Source organism: Homo sapiens, chromosome 3 (assembly GCF_000001405.40).
Source record: "Homo sapiens chromosome 3, GRCh38.p14 Primary Assembly".
NCBI classification, from domain to species: Eukaryota; Metazoa; Chordata; class Mammalia; order Primates; family Hominidae; genus Homo; species Homo sapiens.
In genome coordinates, this window is record NC_000003.12 from 174,440,656 (window position 1) to 174,459,909 (window position 19,254).

At 38.6% G+C, this 19,254-nt stretch overlaps 1 protein-coding gene across 7 annotated transcripts in view, besides 1 other annotated feature; it reads left to right on the plus strand.

Moving 5' to 3' along the window:
- Nucleotides 93–744: an enhancer, noted in NCBI's record as "H3K27ac hESC enhancer chr3:174158538-174159189 (GRCh37/hg19 assembly coordinates)". NCBI's record gives its function as "activates a minimal SCP1, AML or CMV promoter by ChIP-STARR-seq in naive H9 embryonic stem cells {active_cell/tissue: H9 hESC(naive)}" and the evidence as "EXISTENCE:reporter gene assay evidence [ECO:0000049][PMID:30033119]".
- Nucleotides 327–19,254, plus strand: part of NAALADL2 (N-acetylated alpha-linked acidic dipeptidase like 2) — a 1,369,567-nt gene continuing 1,350,639 nt past the window's right edge. For all 7 annotated transcript variants that reach the window (XM_017006077.3, XM_047447876.1, XM_017006075.3 and 4 more), the window contains exon 1: nucleotides 327–377. The gene's annotated coding sequence lies outside the window, so the exon portion shown is untranslated. The remainder of the gene's footprint in view (nucleotides 378–19,254) is intronic.

Consider the following 19,254-nt stretch of genomic DNA (forward strand, 5'->3'; position numbering starts at 1 on the left):
ATTAGATTCAAAGACTATGTATAAAATATATGCAAATTATAAACGAAACATATCTTTTGATGGGCACCATGGGGGCAAGTTTCCAGTTTTGCCCATTAAAAAAAAAATCCTTCCCAATTTTTGAGGCTTGTGCCATTGAACACTGCTGCCCGCGGCTCTTCTTCCCACTTGGCTCGACAAACGCGTCTTTTATTATGACTCAGCCCAGCCCGTTCCTTGCCAAGCGGCTGACGCTCGCGGCGGAGGCGCCGGGGCCGCCGCTCGGGGGCGAGGGTTCGCGCCGCGGCTCGCGCCCGCTTCTCCCGCTTTACGGCTGCTGAAAATCCGGCCTGGCCCGGCAGCCGTACCGCAGACGAGCCCGCGCCCGCGCCGCTCAGGTAATCGGAGTCCTTTTCTTTTCAAAGTTTTGCCAAAACAAGCTCCGCGCTCTGAGGCGGCGCGGCCTCGGCCGAGCGGTCCGTGTCTCCTTGCTCCTCCGTCCTACCCAAGCTGGCGCGACTGAGCTGTGGGCCGCACCCCTGCGCGGGGCCCGGGGCGCCGACCCGGCGTGAAGTACGGGGGCCGAGGGGCGCCCGGCCGGCGGCGGGTTCTGAGCGACTCCGCGGGGTGGCGCGCGGGGCACCTGGCTCTGGCAGTCCGCGAGGCGCGCTGGCCAAAGGAGCTCCCAACCCGCTCCAAGGCCCCCGCCCACCTCCCGAAGCCGCTTGTCTTAGGAGAGGAGCGTAGCAGCTCCGAGTCCCCGCTTCTGACACGTTCACACACGTATGCAGTGCACGCCGGCCAGGCAGCCCGACACGGCGCGCTAGCGGGGCGCAGGTAAAGAGCGGCGCCGCGGGCCCGCGCGTTCGAAATGGCGCGCAGCACAGTTCCGCCCCCGCGCGTGGAATGCCGCTCCAGTGGACGCCCAGGATGGCTTTCTTAAGGAAGTTTATGAGAAGCCATGGAAAGAGCAGCCTGGGATCAGAGCCTGCGCTGCTGGTTCTACCCTAACGTCTGGCTTACTACCACATTTGCCCTACAGTTGCATTGCTTCATAGCTCGTCCTCCCTATTTTCCCCCACATTCTTTGCTTTTTTTTTTTTTTCATTTTTCCTTTGTATTGCGTCTCTTGGTGCCTTGTGTTCTTTTCCCCCTCACTTTTAGAATAGCAATTGAATAGCATACAGTAGCCTTTACATTTCAACCTATGGTCCTTAAGCTGTCTTTATTTACTAGGGCTTGCATCCTGAGGAGTGTAAAGGATTAATTAACTGTGGATTAAGTTGCTGGACTGAAAGTTGTGTTGCAGTTATCCCTGCGGAACAGAAAAGATAGACTTTTTTTTTAACCACCCGAGAACCTTAAGATAATGGTGTTGCTTCTGTTGAAGGAATACATCTTGACAAACATTAAAAATTATGTCATAGGATCCTGTAGTATCCACTCCAGTGAGTTCGATTTGGTAACGGTTCTTTGTCATCTGTGAGTTAGATTCTGTGCTGACTGGTGACAGGTTAACAGAGAAGAGATTCCGTTCCTGTCCTCAGGAGAAGGGACCATGGTGAGCACTGGCTTAATCCTACGAAGTGCTCTGGGAGAATGGGGGAGGAAAAGCTTAAAAGGAAGAGTTGGGTTTAAAACTGGATTCTTGGTATTTTAAGTACGATTTTCACCATTTTTTCCCACACCCCAAGAATTCTTAATGGAAAGGGGAATTATTTTAACAATACTTTCACCTTTAATTTTTTAGAGATTTTTTTTCTCCTTTACAATCGGCAGTAATGTCTGATCTCAAGACTTATGGGAAATGTAAAAGTAACTCCTCTTAATAAGGATGACGTAATGCATTCCTGATAACATAAAAAGAGTATTAAAGACCTTTAATGTAGGACGACTAACAAGAATGAAATGTAATTTATTAATTGCTTACATAAAGCATTATTATATTTAGGTAGAACACTCAATACTTATTAGTCAACAATTGTTTGTTGATTGCTTACTGCGTGCCAAGCAGTGTTCTTGACACTGGAATAAAGCAAAGAAGAAACTTCTGGCTTCTTGGAATATACATTCTAGTGGAGGGAGACAGTATATGTAGTACATAAGAAAAATATAAGGTGAAACCGTAATAAGTGCTATGGACTTATTACATAAAGCAGGAAAAAGAGTGTGTGTTTAGTAATTTAAAATAGGATTTTACCGGAAGTCCTCTGGAGAAGGTGACATTTCAGTAGACTTGAAGCAGTTGAGGGAGTAAGCCATATATTTGGGGCAAGAGTTTCCGGGCGCAGAGAAATAGCAAGTGCAGAGGCCGGGCACATTGCTGTGTTCAGGGATCAGCAAAGAAGCTTGTGTAGCTGAAGTGGAATGGAGGATAGAGGAGAAGTAGGATATGGGATTTTAAATGTCATAGGGGCCAGATAGTACTACATGGTCTGCTAAGCTATTGTAATGATAACCTTTACTTGAAGCCATTTGGAGGCCATTGGAGCCTTTTGACAAGAGGAATGACATGATCTAACACATCTGTTTGATACCATTACTCTGCCTACTGTATTGAGAACAGACTGAAGAAAGCAAGAATAGAAGCAGGGATAACAGTTAGGCTATCATAATTTATGTGACAGATCATGGTGGCTTAGACCCGGATGATAGCAGTGGAAGTGGTGAGTAGTTCATATTCTGTATATATATTTTGAGGGTGTATTCCTCAGGGTTTGCTGAGAGATAGGATATGGAATGTGAGAGCAAAAGAAATTAAGGAGAATGTAATTGCCTAAGCAACTGGAAAGATAAGAGTTTCTGTTAACTGAGATTGGAAAGAACAGGAAGAAGATGTAATTGGGATTAAGAATCTGGATTTGGATATGTTAGGTGTTAGATGGGTTTTAGATATCCAAATGGAAATGTCAAGCATGCAGTTAGCTGGAAGACCAAGCTAATGGCATACATTTAGGACTCTTCATCATATAGCGGGTTGTAAAAGCGAAGAGATTGAATGCATCAAAAGTGTGTGAGTTTAGAATATTGAAGATGACCAGGGACCAGACTTTACGTCATAAAATCTGGTACATAATGGTGTACGTCAGCATTATGAGATGAGGAGAAACCAAAAAGGAGTCTGAAAAAGAGCTGCATTCCATGTAAAAGGGAAAGCAGGAGAATATGGAATCCTGGAAGTGTTTCAAGAAGTAGAGGGCTGATCAGTTGTTTTAAAGATGAGGATTGAGAATTAATCTAGCAAAGGAAATCATTGATGACCATGATGTTGCCAGTTTTCATGGAGGAAGTAGACATGAAAGCTTGTTTGTAATGTGTTTGACAGAGTAGAAAGACATTGAAGAAGGTGATGGTATACATCACTTGAATATTTTTATTGAAAAGGGAGGGAGGAAATGGAGCGTTAGTTGTAGGACCAGATGATGTAAAGAGAGTTTTTTAAAGTGTACAAAACAATGGCATGTTGTGATACTAATGAGAAGGAGCCAATAGAGAACAAAAAATTGATGATGCAGGAGACAGAGGGGAATGCTGTTCACGAGGAGGTGAGAAAGGATACATGCATACAACAAGAGAGACTATCTGTTGCTAGGGTTATGAGCTATTTACCTAGAACAAATGAGAGAAGGAAAAGTGTGGGGGCACAGATGGAGGTGGGGAATGTGGATGTTCTATTTGGATCCCTTCTCTTTTCTCATTGTTTATGAGATCCAGGTGTGGTACATGAGAAATTTGTAGGAATCATTACCATTTTTTCCATTTGGTCAGGAATATTTGATGAAAGAATACTTTGAGATTCTAAGAATTGCTTGAAACAGAAAACTTTGTGCATTGTTGAGGACAGAAGGGGGATTTCTGCCTTGAGCTTTGCTTAGGAGAAGACTTAAAGAGAAAGTGGAGATTACAAGATAAAAGGGGAAAAGGAGGAAATAAGGCAAGCTAAATCATATGATGAAATCCCTGAGAAGGGATCTGATGAGGAAGTTAGCAACATTGAGTCTCACCTCCCGTGGAGCTTATAACTACAGTAACGTTCTAAGAATATTACCGTTATTATCAAACAAACTCTTTTCTGTTTAAGTACCAAGTGTGATCAAATGGAGAACAGTGTTGTCACCAGTGGTCAGTCTAATTATAGAATGGTGGTATTAAATCTTGGAAGAGATGTTAGTTAGGATTAGATTTCAGATTGGATTTTGAAAATGTGAAAAACAGCGATTGGCAACAAATATCATTTGAAAATGATGTGAAAAAGACTGGATTGGCAACATAGGTTGTAGATGTATGGTAGAATTTTGACAACATTACTCATAGATATTGAGCAGTTTGACAAGATGGAGAGAATTGATAGAGTTGGAAATGGAACCTTGTTTGAGATTTTTTTTTTTTTTTCAGTTATTTAGGGACCATTTGTTTCTTGAATTCTTACTATAAAACAGGGTTCTGCGTAAAGTCTTGGCAGGGGATGGTGATAACCACTATGTAAATGACATCATCTCTGCCCTCAATTTACCATTTTTAGTAGAGTGAGGAGAAGGGAATATATGTAAATATTGCAATACAATTGATAAATGCCTTATGAAGAGTACTGAATGCTTTTAGGTTGTTAGGTTTCCAAACATATTTCTTTTATTATGTAAATTATCAGACACGCAAAGGTAGAATAGTATAATGAACCCCAGTATATTCAGGAGTACGTCTCATTAGTCTATTTCATAATTCATACAAAAGATTAGGAGTTAGGGGCCTATAATTATAGTCCCAGTTATGTCCCCAGGTAGTTTTGTGCCCATGTCTTTCCTGGCCTTCAGTTTTTTACTGAAAAATGAGGAGGCAGCTCAAGATCATTTTTAAGGCTTCCTACAGTTCAAAAATATTTTGATTGTATAGTTTTTTACGTGGTACATTCAAAGAAATAGATGAGACAGCTATACAGGAGAACTAGGTTTGTTAAGGGAAAAATTAAGCTCCCCTTCTACCTCTCTTTCCTCACACATATATAACTATTAGATGTCGGCATGCACATATGATGTAACTATAAAGTTGATGTGATTTATATGTGGTTTATTAAAATCTATAGTGATATTTGGTATATAGGAGTAAAATATATGACCTTATGTTTGTGTGTTTTCTATTTGTGTAACAGAATAGATATTTTTTCCCTTTGAGCCAAAAAACATGCGATTATATGAGAAGTGAGTCTTGATGAAGTCCTTGACCTCTCTGATCTGCTCTGACCTGCATTGTGCCTAATTTTTTGTTTGTTTTACCAAACAAAATTTGATTCATTGCTTAATTTGTTTGCCAGTTAAAAGCAAACAGTATTCCTGAAATCAAGGTTTTCTGTTTTGCACTGTTGCATGGGATATTGATGTCAGACAAAATTGTAATTTAATTGTTTTGACATTTTGATCTGAGCAGTTCAGATAAGAAAGGTGATTTATCTTGCCCAGAAACCTCATATTTTGAGCTCAGCATGAATTTTCCCTAACTGCTTGTTTATAAATGTGGTTTCTAAAAAATTAGACTTTCATCATATTGGGAATTTATGCTCTGGGTATTAATTACCAAGGTACAATTTGATAGGAATATAGTAGAGATATTTTAATTTTTAGATGGTCAGTCATGAAAAACTTCAGAAGTGCTATGAATCCTTTAAAAGAAAGTGAAACTTTCATACTTTCAAACTTATATTCTTTGTATATAATATCACATGTGAATTTTTAAAGTAGTACAAATGGCTTTTTGCTCTTTTACAATCTTGGTATATAAAATTACTCATGAAATTCTTTAGTTTTAGGATTTTAGCTATTATATTGGTCAAACCTTATACTTTGCATAGTCTGTGCTTTTGTACTCCTGTTCATCAAGTACAATTATCATTGGTGATAAAGTCACTTCAAATAATGCATCCCTAAGTGATCATGCTATCTCTTTAAATAGTATGTGTGTGTGTATGTGTGTATTTTCATTTCAGTTTAATATGGTACTCAGTAATTTGACAGTTTCTTGGGGCATCCAGTTCTAACAAGCCCTGTATCCTAGTCTCCACCTGGGGGCAGGGGGATTCATGTTTTTGGAATCAAACCTGTAACATATTTCCTGCATGGTTATAGAACTCTCAGAGTACTCAAACCAAAGTAAACATCTTCTGGGGCAGTATAACACTTTTTTGAAATGCTGGTTGTAGAAGCCAGCTTGAAATTTTTGATCACCTTCAGGTGATAAAAGCCTTTTTCCCTATCTTCTTGGATGGAGGGATCTGATGAGAAGATGAAGATAGGAGCAACCTTAAGAAACCTTGTGGTTCTGGACCCCTTTTTTGCATTTAATTTTGCTAGAGTTTTGGAAAACTTTAAAAATAATAACAAGGTATCTTCAAGTAAAATGGCTACTAATTATGCAGGAAACCTACTCTTGCCTTTATATGTGTGTGAAAATACTTGTGTTACTGGCACTTGTTGAGATAAGACAATGTGAGAGATACATCCTAGAGAGGCTCTGTTTACAGGAGTTACATAATTCCTACATCAGCCCTTTTGTAATATGTCATAGTTTGAATATAGAGTGCCAGCAGTCATCTATCTTCTAAGAATTTTTCCAAAGAGACCCTAGTCTCTAGGGGATTAATGGCTCCCTCAGAATAGGCCAGTCTGAATGATTTGTAAATTAACACTTAGGAGCTGGAAAACAAGATGATGCTTCTCTAACTGGGGTACTCTGAGCTTTGTTAGAGGGCTCCGAGCCATAGATAAATATGGCCATCTTCTTTTGTAAAACTTATTGCTATATTTTGGAGAAAGTAGTTAAATAATTTAACGGGTAAGTTAAATATTCAGAACCACTATTGAATGTGAATATGACATCCAGTGCAAAATACATGATTTTAAAAATAAAATTTGGCCGGGCGAGGTGGCTAACGCCTGTAATCCCAGCACTTTGGGTGGCCGAGGTGGGCGGATCACGAGGTCAGGAGATTGAGACCATTCTGGCTAACACGGTGAAACCTCGTCTCTACTAAAAATACAAAAATAGCCGGGTGTGGTGGTGGGTGCCTGTAGTCCCAGCTACTCGGGAGGCTGAGGCAGGAGAATGGCGTGAACCTGGAAGGCGGAGCTTTCAGTGAGCCGAGATCACACCACTGCACTCCAGCCGGGGCAACAGAGCGAGACTCTGTCTCAAAAAAATTAAAATAAAATAAAAATAAAAAATAAAATTCAAAGTAGCTTCTTACTTGTAGTAGGTCTCCATAGACTATATTTTCTGACCCCAGGAAAGGATATAGGTTGGCATAAAGGTAGATAGTTTGTTAAACTTAACATTCATCAAAATACTTATTATTGCTGTTATCTATCTGCTTTGGTTTGATTTGCTTTCCTGGTGTTTACCCACACTGATCTTTTAGATTTGTGGGAAAACTTTCCTTCTTTATTTTCCTCTGGCATTGAGATATGATTTCTGTGAGGTGCTCCATTTCCCTCTTCTCATTTTTTGCTTTTTATTTTGAAATTATTGACATACAGGAATTTGCCAGAATGGTATGAAAAGGTACTGTGTTACTCTTTAACCAGTTTCTCCCACTGGCTACATCTTCCTAACCACAGTACAATATAAAAACCAGGAAATTGACATTGATACAATGTGTGTGTATAGTTCTGTGTCATTTCATCTCATATGTAGATTCATGTAATCGTCACCATAATCAAGATATAAAGCTATTTCATCACCACAAATATCCCTCTTACAGTACCCTCCAAAAGAGGCACTGAAAGAATCAGAGGTATTTAATTTAGCAAAGGGATTATGCACTTTCTTCTAAGTTTTGTAGTTTTTATGCAAATGGTAGATCTTTTTGTATTTTGAATCATGAAGGAGAAAGATGAAATACTGTATTATTTTTAGAATGGAGGAGAATGTTACCAAAATGCCAGGGGTTCAGTCTAGATTCTATTGCTCACTGCACAGAAAGCCAATCAATGAGATGAGTATTGCCAGGGAAGAAGGCTTTAATCAGGTGCTGCACCTGAGGAGATGGGATATCAGTATCAAATATCTTCCCTGACTAAAATAGCAGGAAAGAAATGTAACTATGTGTGGGAAAACAGGAATTAGGGAGGAGTAAGGAAGAGAAGTTGGTCAGCAGGAAGCAGGTAGTCCGTTCAGGCAATCATGATGAGTGAGAGGTCTGGTGTCTTATTGCCCAGATGTAGTGATGTGGTAAGTTTTGGTTTTTCTTGCTACTGTCTGGGAAGCCTGGGGGTTGGTTTCCTGAGAAAGGAACTAAGATAAGACAAATGTAACTTTCTCAAGTTTTAAGACGGGGTGGATCAATATCTATGTTAATTCAAAGAAACCATAAACATCAGTTCTATAGGATAATTGGACTGGTTTCAAGAGCTTAAATAGTTGTTATAACAGATAGTGTCATCTGTGAAATAAGTTCTTGAAGGCTCAGTTTCAAATTATCAAGAACTTTGATAATTCGAGGTTAGACATTCATGTGCTTGAAGAATGGAACCAGTTGATATGGTGCAGTCTCATCCATCTGTGTGACTAATCTTTGTGTATGTGCTGGATTTAGCCAAATAAAACTTTAAAGAGAAAATGGTGGAGCAAATAGAGGGGTCTTGTTGAACTTCCTAAGTACCCACACAGCCTTCTAGCTTCTTGTGAAACCTAGAATTGGAGGAAGAAAAAACAAAAAACATTTCAGCACTAAAACTAAAAAACAAAAAACAAAAGCACTATTAATGATATTGTGCCACATTTAATTTTATAGGTGTTAATGTCTTTAACACCTACATTAAGATGATTTATTTTATTTAACCAATATGTCATGAGGATAATTAGTAGTGTCTGAGAAATCCTTCTTGATAGATTTTTCTCAGAACTATTTCCAGACAATCACGATCCAAGATTTTAGTCTCATATATTACATAAACAGTATAAATGTATTGTCAAAGCACAGTGTACATGCATCTTAGTTTTAATAGTTTACAAGATATCTTTAGGTTTATTTATTTGAAAATTATGATTTATGTATATATGAAATAGGTATCTTCTGTCTTTTATTTTTGCTGTGCAAGCAATGCATTAAAGTCTGTTTGAAAGTTTGGAGATAATGTTGAAATTTTATACTATAATAGTCATAGCCACTTTTTCATTAGTCCTTCTCTATTCTTTTTAGGTTACCTGAATTAAGCAAAGAATTCCTGCCTCTCTTTTCAGTTTTTTTCTGTTACCTAAATGTTCCACATGATATTGTTATTGTAATGATATTTAAACATTAATTCCAGATCATTGTCATCTTCATTGTATATGTCTTACCAATTTTTGAAAGTTAAAGCATATATATACACACACATATATATACACAACACATACATACACACACACACACACACACACACACATATAGTTTCTTTCATTTGCTATACTTATTTTGAGTTGAGTACATAACAAGGCAAGGCAGAGAGTGAGTGTGTTTATGTTTTCAGATTTATTTGATCCCACCACTTGAAAAAAATGTGAATTTGTTACCAAAACACCAAGCGTTTGGTCTAGGTCCTGCTGCTTGCCACACAGAAAGCCAGTCACTGAGACAATGAGTTTTGTCAGCAGAAAGGCTTTAATTGGGTGCTGCGCCTGAGGATAGAGATCAGTCTTAAATCCTCACTGACCAACTAAAATTAGGGGTTTATATAGCAGAGAAGAAATGTAACCACGCATGGGAAAATAGGGAGGCGCAAGGAAGAGGATTTGGTTAATAGGAAGCAGGTGGTTGCCTAGGCAGTTATGGTAGGTGAGTGGTCTGACATCTCATTGTCCAGATACAGTGATCTGGTAAGTTTCAGATTCTTGCTACTCTTTGGAAGGCTTGATGGTTGGTTTCTTGAGAAAGGAACTCAGATAGAACAAATGTAATTTTCTCAAGTTTCAAGACTGAGAGAGTCCAGGCTGGGCGCGGTGGCTATTGCCTGTAATCCCAGCACTTTGGGAGGCCAAGGCAGGTGGATCATGAGATCAGGAGTTCAAGACCAGCCTGGCCAACATGGTGAAACCCCGTCTCCACTAAAACTACAAAAATTAGCCAGGTGTGGTGGCAGGCACCTGTAATCCCAGCTACTCGGGAGGCTGAGGCAGGAGAATTGCTTGAACCTGGGTGGCAGGGGTTGTAGTGAGCCGAGATCATGCCACTGCACTCCAGCCTGGGCAACAGAATGAGACTCTGTCTCAAAAAAAAAAAAAAAAAAAAAAAAGAAAGAAAGAAAAAGACTGGGAGGGTCAGTTTTTATGTTTACTCTGCAGAAACCATAAACATCAGTTCTATGAGACAACTGAGTCAATTTTAAATGTTTTTTCAAAATTTTTAATTTTACTTAGAATGAGAAAATAAATTTATTTTAATGGTTATTCGATCTTGGACATTTTTAAGAGTAACACAAAAACTGCAATTGTGTTTGTACAGAAAGGGTTGTCTGGTTTTTACTTTCAACGAGAATAACATGGTATGATGACATATGTCTCTATCCTCTGTATGAACCTCAATTTGAGGATATGTCTGTGGATCCTGTAAGTACTGAGGGTTTAATTTATTGCTAATATTAGAGACAATGACAGTGATATTCCAGTGACTTACCATTACCGATTCTTTCCTGGAATGGAGAAATTTGCTCTTGATTTCATTGCTGCCTGATTTATATCTTTTAAGAAGGTGGCTGTTCTTTTAGTTGCTCAGTATCAAATATAAAAATCTAATTGTGTGGGTTTTCATGTAATTGTTATCAAGAATTCAATTTTAAAGCAAGGAGAAAACTACATAACAGAAACTTGATATGTTTGTATTATAATCTAGGCATTTTCTTAGCATGTATCCAATTTGAACACCTCTAAGCATTTTTATAATAAAAAACACCCATCACATTGTGTTCAGGACAAAATAGTTACAAAACCTGTAAATTACTGTTTGGTTAAAAAAGGATTTGCCATTATACTAGTCTATATCTCTGATTATTTAAAGACATTGCTCTTATTCATGTGCCTTCTTTTCGGTTTACATATTTTTTGGAGGTAGTGAAAAAGAATCCTTTACTCATTTTTACAAAACACATTTTGACTACATAGCTCTTCCTTCACTTTGACATAAAGACAAAAATAATCAAAATCAATAAAACATTGTTAATTAATGTAGTGCTAAGGATAGTGGGAGTTTTTTTTTTTTTTTTTTTTTTTTTTTTTGAGTCTGTCACCCAAGTTGGAGTGCAGTGGCACAATCTTGGCTTACTGCAACCTCCGCCTCTCGGGTTCAAGAGATTCTCGTGCCTCAGCCTCCCGAGTAGCTGGGATTACAAGTGTGTGCCACCATGCCTGGCTAATTTTTTTTTTTAAACTAGAGGTGGGGTTTTGCTATGTTGGTCAGGCTGGTCTCGAACTCCTGGCCTCGAGTGATCTGCCTGCCTTGGCCTCCCAAAGTGCTGGAATTATAGGCATGAGCCACTAGGCCTGGCCGATAGTGGGAGTGTTAAAGAAGACAGACTAACAGACACCTGTTACTTTGGTGTCTGCATTTTAGTAGCTTTCTTTTAAGCAGTTGTAAACTGTGCTAGGGCATGTGCTTTATCTTTGTCTTGCACCTCATCTCTTCCTTGACCCACTTGTTATATGTATGACCACCTTTAAGAATTTTAATTTTGTGTGCTGCCTCCGTCACTGCTGTGAACACCCACATGGAGTCAGGCACCCACCCACCCTGGCACCTGCTAGCACCCTGCTGCACCTAACAAGTGTATACCCTGCTGCATTGCTGCTGCTTCTGGTATGTGTGAATGAGGACAGATCTTGTTGCTGTCACCTTACAAAATGCTTTATCTGGCACCACCCATCGGTGTATAGTGACTGGTGGTCTGAGAGTACCTTAGCCCCAACCCCCGCCCACACAGTGGGTTCCTAATTTCGAGGAGCCAGAGAACAAAATTGAGGCCCGATACAAGTTCCCCAGAGTTAGAACACACAGTCCAGGAATTGAGAGCTAGTCTCAGCCCCTTAAAATCCTCCAGAAGCCAAACCAGTTGACTGAATCCACCTTATTACACAGTCAAATCCTCAAGGTCATCAAATAGCATAAAAGAAAAAAAAAAAACTCATTCAAAGGACAGCAACTTTAAAAATCGAAGGAACATCAGCCCACAAGGATGAGAAAGAACCAGTGCAAGAATTCCTACAACTCAAAAAGCTAGAGTATCTTCTTTTCTCCATATGATCACACTAGCTCTCCAGCAAGCGTTCTGAACTGGGACTGAGATGACTGACGTGACAGAAATAGAATTCAGACTATAGATAGGAATGAAGATTATTGAGATATAGGAGTATGTTGAAACCTAATCCAAGAAAGCTAAGAATCACAATAAAATAATACAGGGGCTGACAGACAAAATAGCCAGTATTGAAAAGAATGTAACTGACCTGATATAGCTGAAAAACACACTATAAGAATTTTGTAATGCAATCACAAGTATTAATAGCATAATAGAAAACTGAGGAAAGAGTCTCAGAGCTTGAAGACTGGCTTTCTGAAATAAGACAGTCAAATAAGAATAGATTAAAAAGAATGAAAAAGAACAAAAAAACCCTCTGAGAAATATGGGATTACATAAAGAGACCAAATCTACAACTTATTTGTGTCCTTGAAAGAGATGGGGAGTATGGAAGCAACTTGGAAATCACATTTTGGGATATCCTCCATCTAGATAGAGAGGCCAACATTCAAATTCAGGAAATGCAGAGAACCCAGTAAAATACTTCACAAGAAGATCATCCCCAAAGTACTTAATCATCAGATTCTCCAAGGTCAAAATGAAAGAAAAAGTGTTAAAGGCAGCTAGAGAGAAAGGTCAGGTCACCCAAAGGGAAGCCCATCAGCTAACAATGGACATTTCTGTAGAAACCCCACAAGCCATAAGTTATTGGGGGCCAATATTCAACATTCTTAAAATAAATTCCAACAAAGAATTTCATATCAGGTCCTACTAAGCTGCATAAGCAAAGGAGAAATAAGATCCTTTTCATAGAAGCAAATACTGAGGGCATTCATTATTGTCAGACCTGCTTTACAAGAGCTCCTAAAGGAAGCACTACATGCAGAAAGGAGAGACCATTACCAGCCGCTACAAAAACACTTAAGGACACAAACCAACAACACTATAAAACAGCCACACAAACAAGTCTGCATGATAACCAGCTAACACCATGATGACAGTATCAAATTTCCTCATATCAATACTAACCTTGAATGTAAGTGAACTAAATGCCTCAATTAAAAGGCACAGAGTTGCAAGCTGGATAAAGACCGAATTATATGCTGTCTTCGGAAGACCTATCTCAAATGCAATGACACCCACAGGCTTAAAATAAAGGGATGGAGAGAAATCTTCAAGCAAATGAAAACCAGAAAGGAGAGGTTACCACACTAATTTTAGACAAAAGACTATAAGCCAACAAAGATCAAAAAAGACAAGGGCATTACGTAATGATAAAGGGTTCAATTCAACGGGAAGATCTAACTTTCCTAAATATATATGCACTCAACACAGGAGTACCCAGATTCATAAAGCAAATTCTTAGAGACCTTCAGAGACTTAGACTCCCACACAATAATAAGGGGAGACATCAACATCTCACTCACAGTATTATATAGATCATCGAGGGAGAAAATTAACGATATTCAGGACCTAAACTCAGCACTGGATCAAATGGACCTGGTAGACATCTACAGAACTCTCCACGCTGGAAAAACAGAATATACATTCTTCTCATCACCACATTACACATACTCTAAAGTCGACCACATAATCAGCCCCAAAACACTACTCAGCAAATGCAAAAGAATTGAAATCGTAAGAACCACTCTCTCAGACAACAGCAGCAGAAAATTAGAAATCATGATTAAGAAATTTGCTCAAAACCGTACTATTACATGGAAATTGAATAACCTGCTCCTGATTGACTTTTGTGTCAATAATGAAATTAAGGCAGAAATCAAGTTCTTTGAAACTAATGAGAACAAAGATACATACCAAAATCTCTGGGACACAGTTAAAGCAATGTTAAGAGGGAAATGTATAATATTAAACACTCACATTAAAAAGTTAGAAAGATCTCAATTTAACAACCTAACATCACACAACTAACAGAACTGGAGAACCAAGAGCAAACCAACCCCAGTGCTAGCAGAAGACAAGAAATAACCAAAATCAGAGCTGAACTGAAGGAGACTGAGACATAGAAAAGCACTCAAAAGATCAATGAATCCAGGAGTTGTTTTTTTTTTTTGAAAAATATTACTAAAATAGGCCCCTAGCTATACTAATAAGAGAGAAGATACAAATAAAGGCTATTTAGAAATGACAGAGGGGATATTACTGCTGACCCCACAGAAATACAAATAACCACCAGAGAATATTTTGAACACCTCTGTGCATACAAACTAAAAAATCCAGAAGAAATGGATAAATTCCTGGATATACACACCCTCCCAAGACTACCAGAAAGAAAGTGAATCCCTGAACAGACCAATAACAAGCTCTGAAAGTGTATCAGTAATAAGTAGCCTACCAAACAAACAAAAATTCCAGGAACAGACAGATTCACAGCTGAATTCTACCAGATGTACAAAGAAGAGCTGGTACCATTCCTACTGAGACTCTTACAAAAAACTGAAAAGGAGGGACTCCTCTCTAACTCATTCCATGAGACCAGCATCATCCTGATATCAAAACTTGGCAGAGACACACACAGAAAAGCCTTTAGGCCAACATCCTTGATGCACATCAATGCAAAAATCCTCAGCAAAATACTGACAGAGTATAGCAGTACATCAAAAACATATCCAGTATGATCAAGTAGGCATTATCCCTAGGGTGCAGAGTTGGTTCAACATACAGAAATCAGTAAGTGTGATTCATCACATAAACAGAACTAAAGACAAAACCATATGATCATCTCAATAGATTCAGAAAAGGCTTTTGATAAAATTCAACACCCCTTCATGTTAAAAGCTCTCTATAAACTAGGTATTGAAGGAACATACATCAAAATAATAGGAGCCATCTATGAGAAACCCACAGTCAACATCATACTGAATGAGCAAAAGCAGTAAGCATTCCCCTTGAAAACCAAGACAAGACAAGGATGTTCTCTCTCACCACTCCTATTCAACATAGTATTGGAAGTCCTGGCCAGAGCAGTCAGGCAAGAGAAAGAAAAAAAGGGCATCCAAATAAGGATCAAACTATTCCTGTGTGCAGACATTATTCAATATGTAGAAAACCCCATAGTCTCAGCCCAAAAGCTCCTTAAGCTGATAAACAACTTAAGTGAAGTCTCAAGATACAAAGTCAGTGTACAAAAACCACTGGCATTCCTATACACCAACAACTGTCAAGCCAAGAGGCAAATCAGGAATACAATCCCATTCACAGTTGCCACAAAAAGAATAAAATACTTAGGAATACAGCTAACCAGGGAGGTGAAAGATCTCTGTAATGAGAACTACAAAACACTGCTCAGAGAAATCAGAGATGACACAAACAATAGAAGAACATTCCATGCTTATGGATAGGAAGAATCAATGTTGTTAAAATGACCATACTGCCCAAAGCAATTTATAGATTCAATGCTATTTCTATCAAACTACCAATGACATTCTTCACACAACTAGAAAACTGTTTTAAAATTCCTATGGATCCAAAAAGAGAATCAACAGCCAAGGCAATCCTAAGCAAAAAAAAAAAAAAAAAAAAAAAATCAGGAAGCATCACTCTACCTGACTTCAAACTATACCACAGGACAACAGTAACCAAAACAGCATGGCACTGGTACAAACCCAGACACATAGACTGATGGAACAAAATAGCCCAGAAATAAGGCCACATACCTACAATCACCTGATCTTCAACAAACCTGACAAAGATAAGCAATGGGGAAAGGACTCCCTATTCATTTGGGAAAGGTGCTGGGATAACTGGGTAGCCATATGCATAAGATTGAAACTGGACCCCTTCCTTATACCATATAAAAAAAATCAACTCAAGATGGATCAAAGACTTAAATGTAAAACCCAAAACTATAAAAACCCTGGAACACAACCTAGGCAATACCATTCTGGACACAGGAATGGGCAAAGATTTCAAGATGAAGACACCAAAAGCAATTGCAGCAAAAGCAAAAAAGTGACAAAAGGAAACTAAAGAGCTTCTATACAGCAAAAGAAACTATCAACAGAGTAAACAGAAAACCTATAGAATGGGAGAAAATGTTTGCAAACTGTGCATCTGACACAGGACTAATATCAAGCATCTACAGGGAACTTAAACAAATTTACAAGAAAAAATAATCCCATTAAAATGTGGGCAAAGGACATAAACACTTTTCAAAAGATAGGATACATATGGTCAATAAGAATATGAAAAAAAGCTCAACATCTCTGATCATTAGAGAAATGCAAATAAAAACTACAATGAGATACCATCTCCTACCTGTCAAAATGGCTATTACTAAAAAGTAAAAAAATAACAGGTGCTGGTGAAGTTGTGGAGGAAAAGGAACACTTAGACACTGTTGTTGGGTGTGTAAATTAGTTCAACCATTGTAGAAAACAGTGTGGTGATTCCTCAAAGGCTTAAAAACAGAAGTACCATTCCTTCCAGCAACCCCATTACTGTTTATGTACCCAAAGTAATATACATCATTCTATAATAAAGACACATGCATGTGTCAATTGCAGCAGTGTTTACAATAGCAAAGCCATGGAATTGACCTAAATGCCCCTTAGTGGTGGACTGGATAAAGAAAATGTGGTAAATACTCACCATGGAATACAATGCAGCCATACAGCCATAGAAAGAGTGAGATCATCCGGGCACGGAGGCTCATGCCTGTAGTCCTAGCACTTTGGGAGGCTGAGGTGGGCAGATCATGAGGTCAGGAGTTTAAGACCAGCCTGGCCAATGTGGTGAAACCCATCTCTGCTAAAGATACAAAAAATTTACTGGGTGTGGTGGTGTGCACCTGTAATCTCAGCTACTCAGGAGATTTGCTTGAATCCGGGAGGTGGAGGTTGTAGTGAGCTAAGATCGTGCCATTGCACTTCAGCCTGGGTGACAGGGTGAGACTCCGTCTCAAAAAAACAAAAAAAAAAAGAGGTCATGTCTTTTGCAGGAACATAGAGGCCTTTATCTTTAGCAAACTAACAGAGGAACAGAAAACCAAGTACCACACGTTCTCACTTATAAGTGGGAGCTAAATAATGAGAACACGTGGACACATAGAGGTGAATGACAGACACGTGGGCCTATTGGAGGGTAGAAGGTGGGAAGAGGGAGAGGATCAGAAAAAATAACTAATGGGTACCAAGCTTGATACCTGGGTGGAGAAATAATCTGTACAACAGACCCCCTTGATACAATTTACCTATATAACAAACCTGCACATACACCCTTGAACTTAAAAGTGAAAAATGAATTTTTTTAATTTATAAAGTATTATTAATAGTTCACTATATAAGGGTTATTGTAAGAAAAAGATAGCATGTGGGAAACTGCATTATCCTACATTACATTGAGTGTCTCTGGAGTTAGTCAAGTCTGTGTTTAAATGGCAGTTTTCTACCTCAGTGTTGTATTTCTCTGTGATTCCTGACAACTTGACTCACCTGTATTTTCCTCTCTCTAAAATGGGAATGATTTTTCCTATTTCACAAACTTATTTTGAAGTTACATTATGTATATAAAGCACCTGTTGTATTGCTTGGTATCCAATACTTAATAAATGTTATTTTCCTTTTCTTTCCCTCTCCCTTTTCATCATTTTCTTGTTCTCCACAGTTTTCTGAAAGAAAAGATCAGTAAGATCAGTTATGGGCTATGATGAAACCATTTTAAGTCTCTGTTCTTTGCCAAGCTCCAAGGTAGGTCAAGGGAATCAATAATGTAGGATTGTGAAGTCTTTGTCCAGGTTACTCACAGAATTTTCTTGTGAGTGAAAGACTTGGGAGATTTTAGAAGTTACCATCTATCAACAGTTTTCTGATATCTGCTCATCTAATACTGTTACACTTTTGTTTAATCTGTTGTGGCTGCTTCACTGCCTTATGGATGAAACCAAACCTAATAGCCCAATGAATAAGGCTGATTGCAATTAGCCTTTTATTAGACTATAGCCTCATCTCCTGTCCCTCAGGATTGCTTCCTAATTTAGTTAATATTTTTTCTTCAAGCCTCTATTATGTTTCCTGGGGTTACTAACATGATCAAAGTAGCAAGCTAGCCTTCTTCTAGGGTGGAGGTTGGGCAAGAGAGTAGGGGGAGGTGAGTTGGAGAAAAGGGATGATCCAGAAGTGTGGTTCCCAGGTTCTTTAGGAAATTTTCACTGGTCTTTGACAAAATGGGAAAATAAAGATTATGCAGTGAGCTTTTTCATTATCTTTTATTCTGATTATATCTGTTCTACTCTTTTATATATTAAGAACATTATTGACAGAATAAAAAGTTGGTAGTCCTTTTATGTCTTTTCATTTTTTTTGTTTGTTTTGCTTTGTTTTTAACTTTACAGGTCCATGAAATCTGATGGTGTAGGAAATGCTCATCCAGTATCTGCAGTGCTGTTTAAAGAGAAAAGGCCCAGGTGAAGCCTGTTACTAGAAGACTGAGTGATATGAGGGACTAGCTGTCTGGGATGAGAGAGAACCCGAGACTAGTATGTCTTACAATGGAGGAGATGTCCGCTTTGAGGATAGTGGGAAAGTAGGGAAATGAAATGAAGGCTGTTTATTTAGTTGGCTTTCTCAGTGTCAGTGAGGTTTGCATGTGAACATGCACTGGACACTGACTTGAGGGAATGCTTATTTGGAATTCTGGAAGTCTGCACTGGATTTATTCAGTAATTTTAGCTCGATTGTAGAATTGCTGAGTTCTTCACCCTCAAAATGGGGATAGAAATGCTGATTTTTAAAGCACTTTAGGATCCTTAAATGTAGTATACCACTGTAAGCTTCAAAGATAGTTTCTTCACTTGGTTGCAGTCTTTGAAATGGGATTCAACTGAAGCTTTACAAAGTAGTATTAGAACTCCCAATGACAGACACCAGTCTTGCCTTTTGTTCATGTTTTTAAAACTACCTGGATGTTATATTGTATGTGCTGTATAATTATGAAATGATGTGAAAAAGTTATTTAAGTTTTTGGAAAGTTGTCTTAACATGTTAATAGGAAACATTAGCTG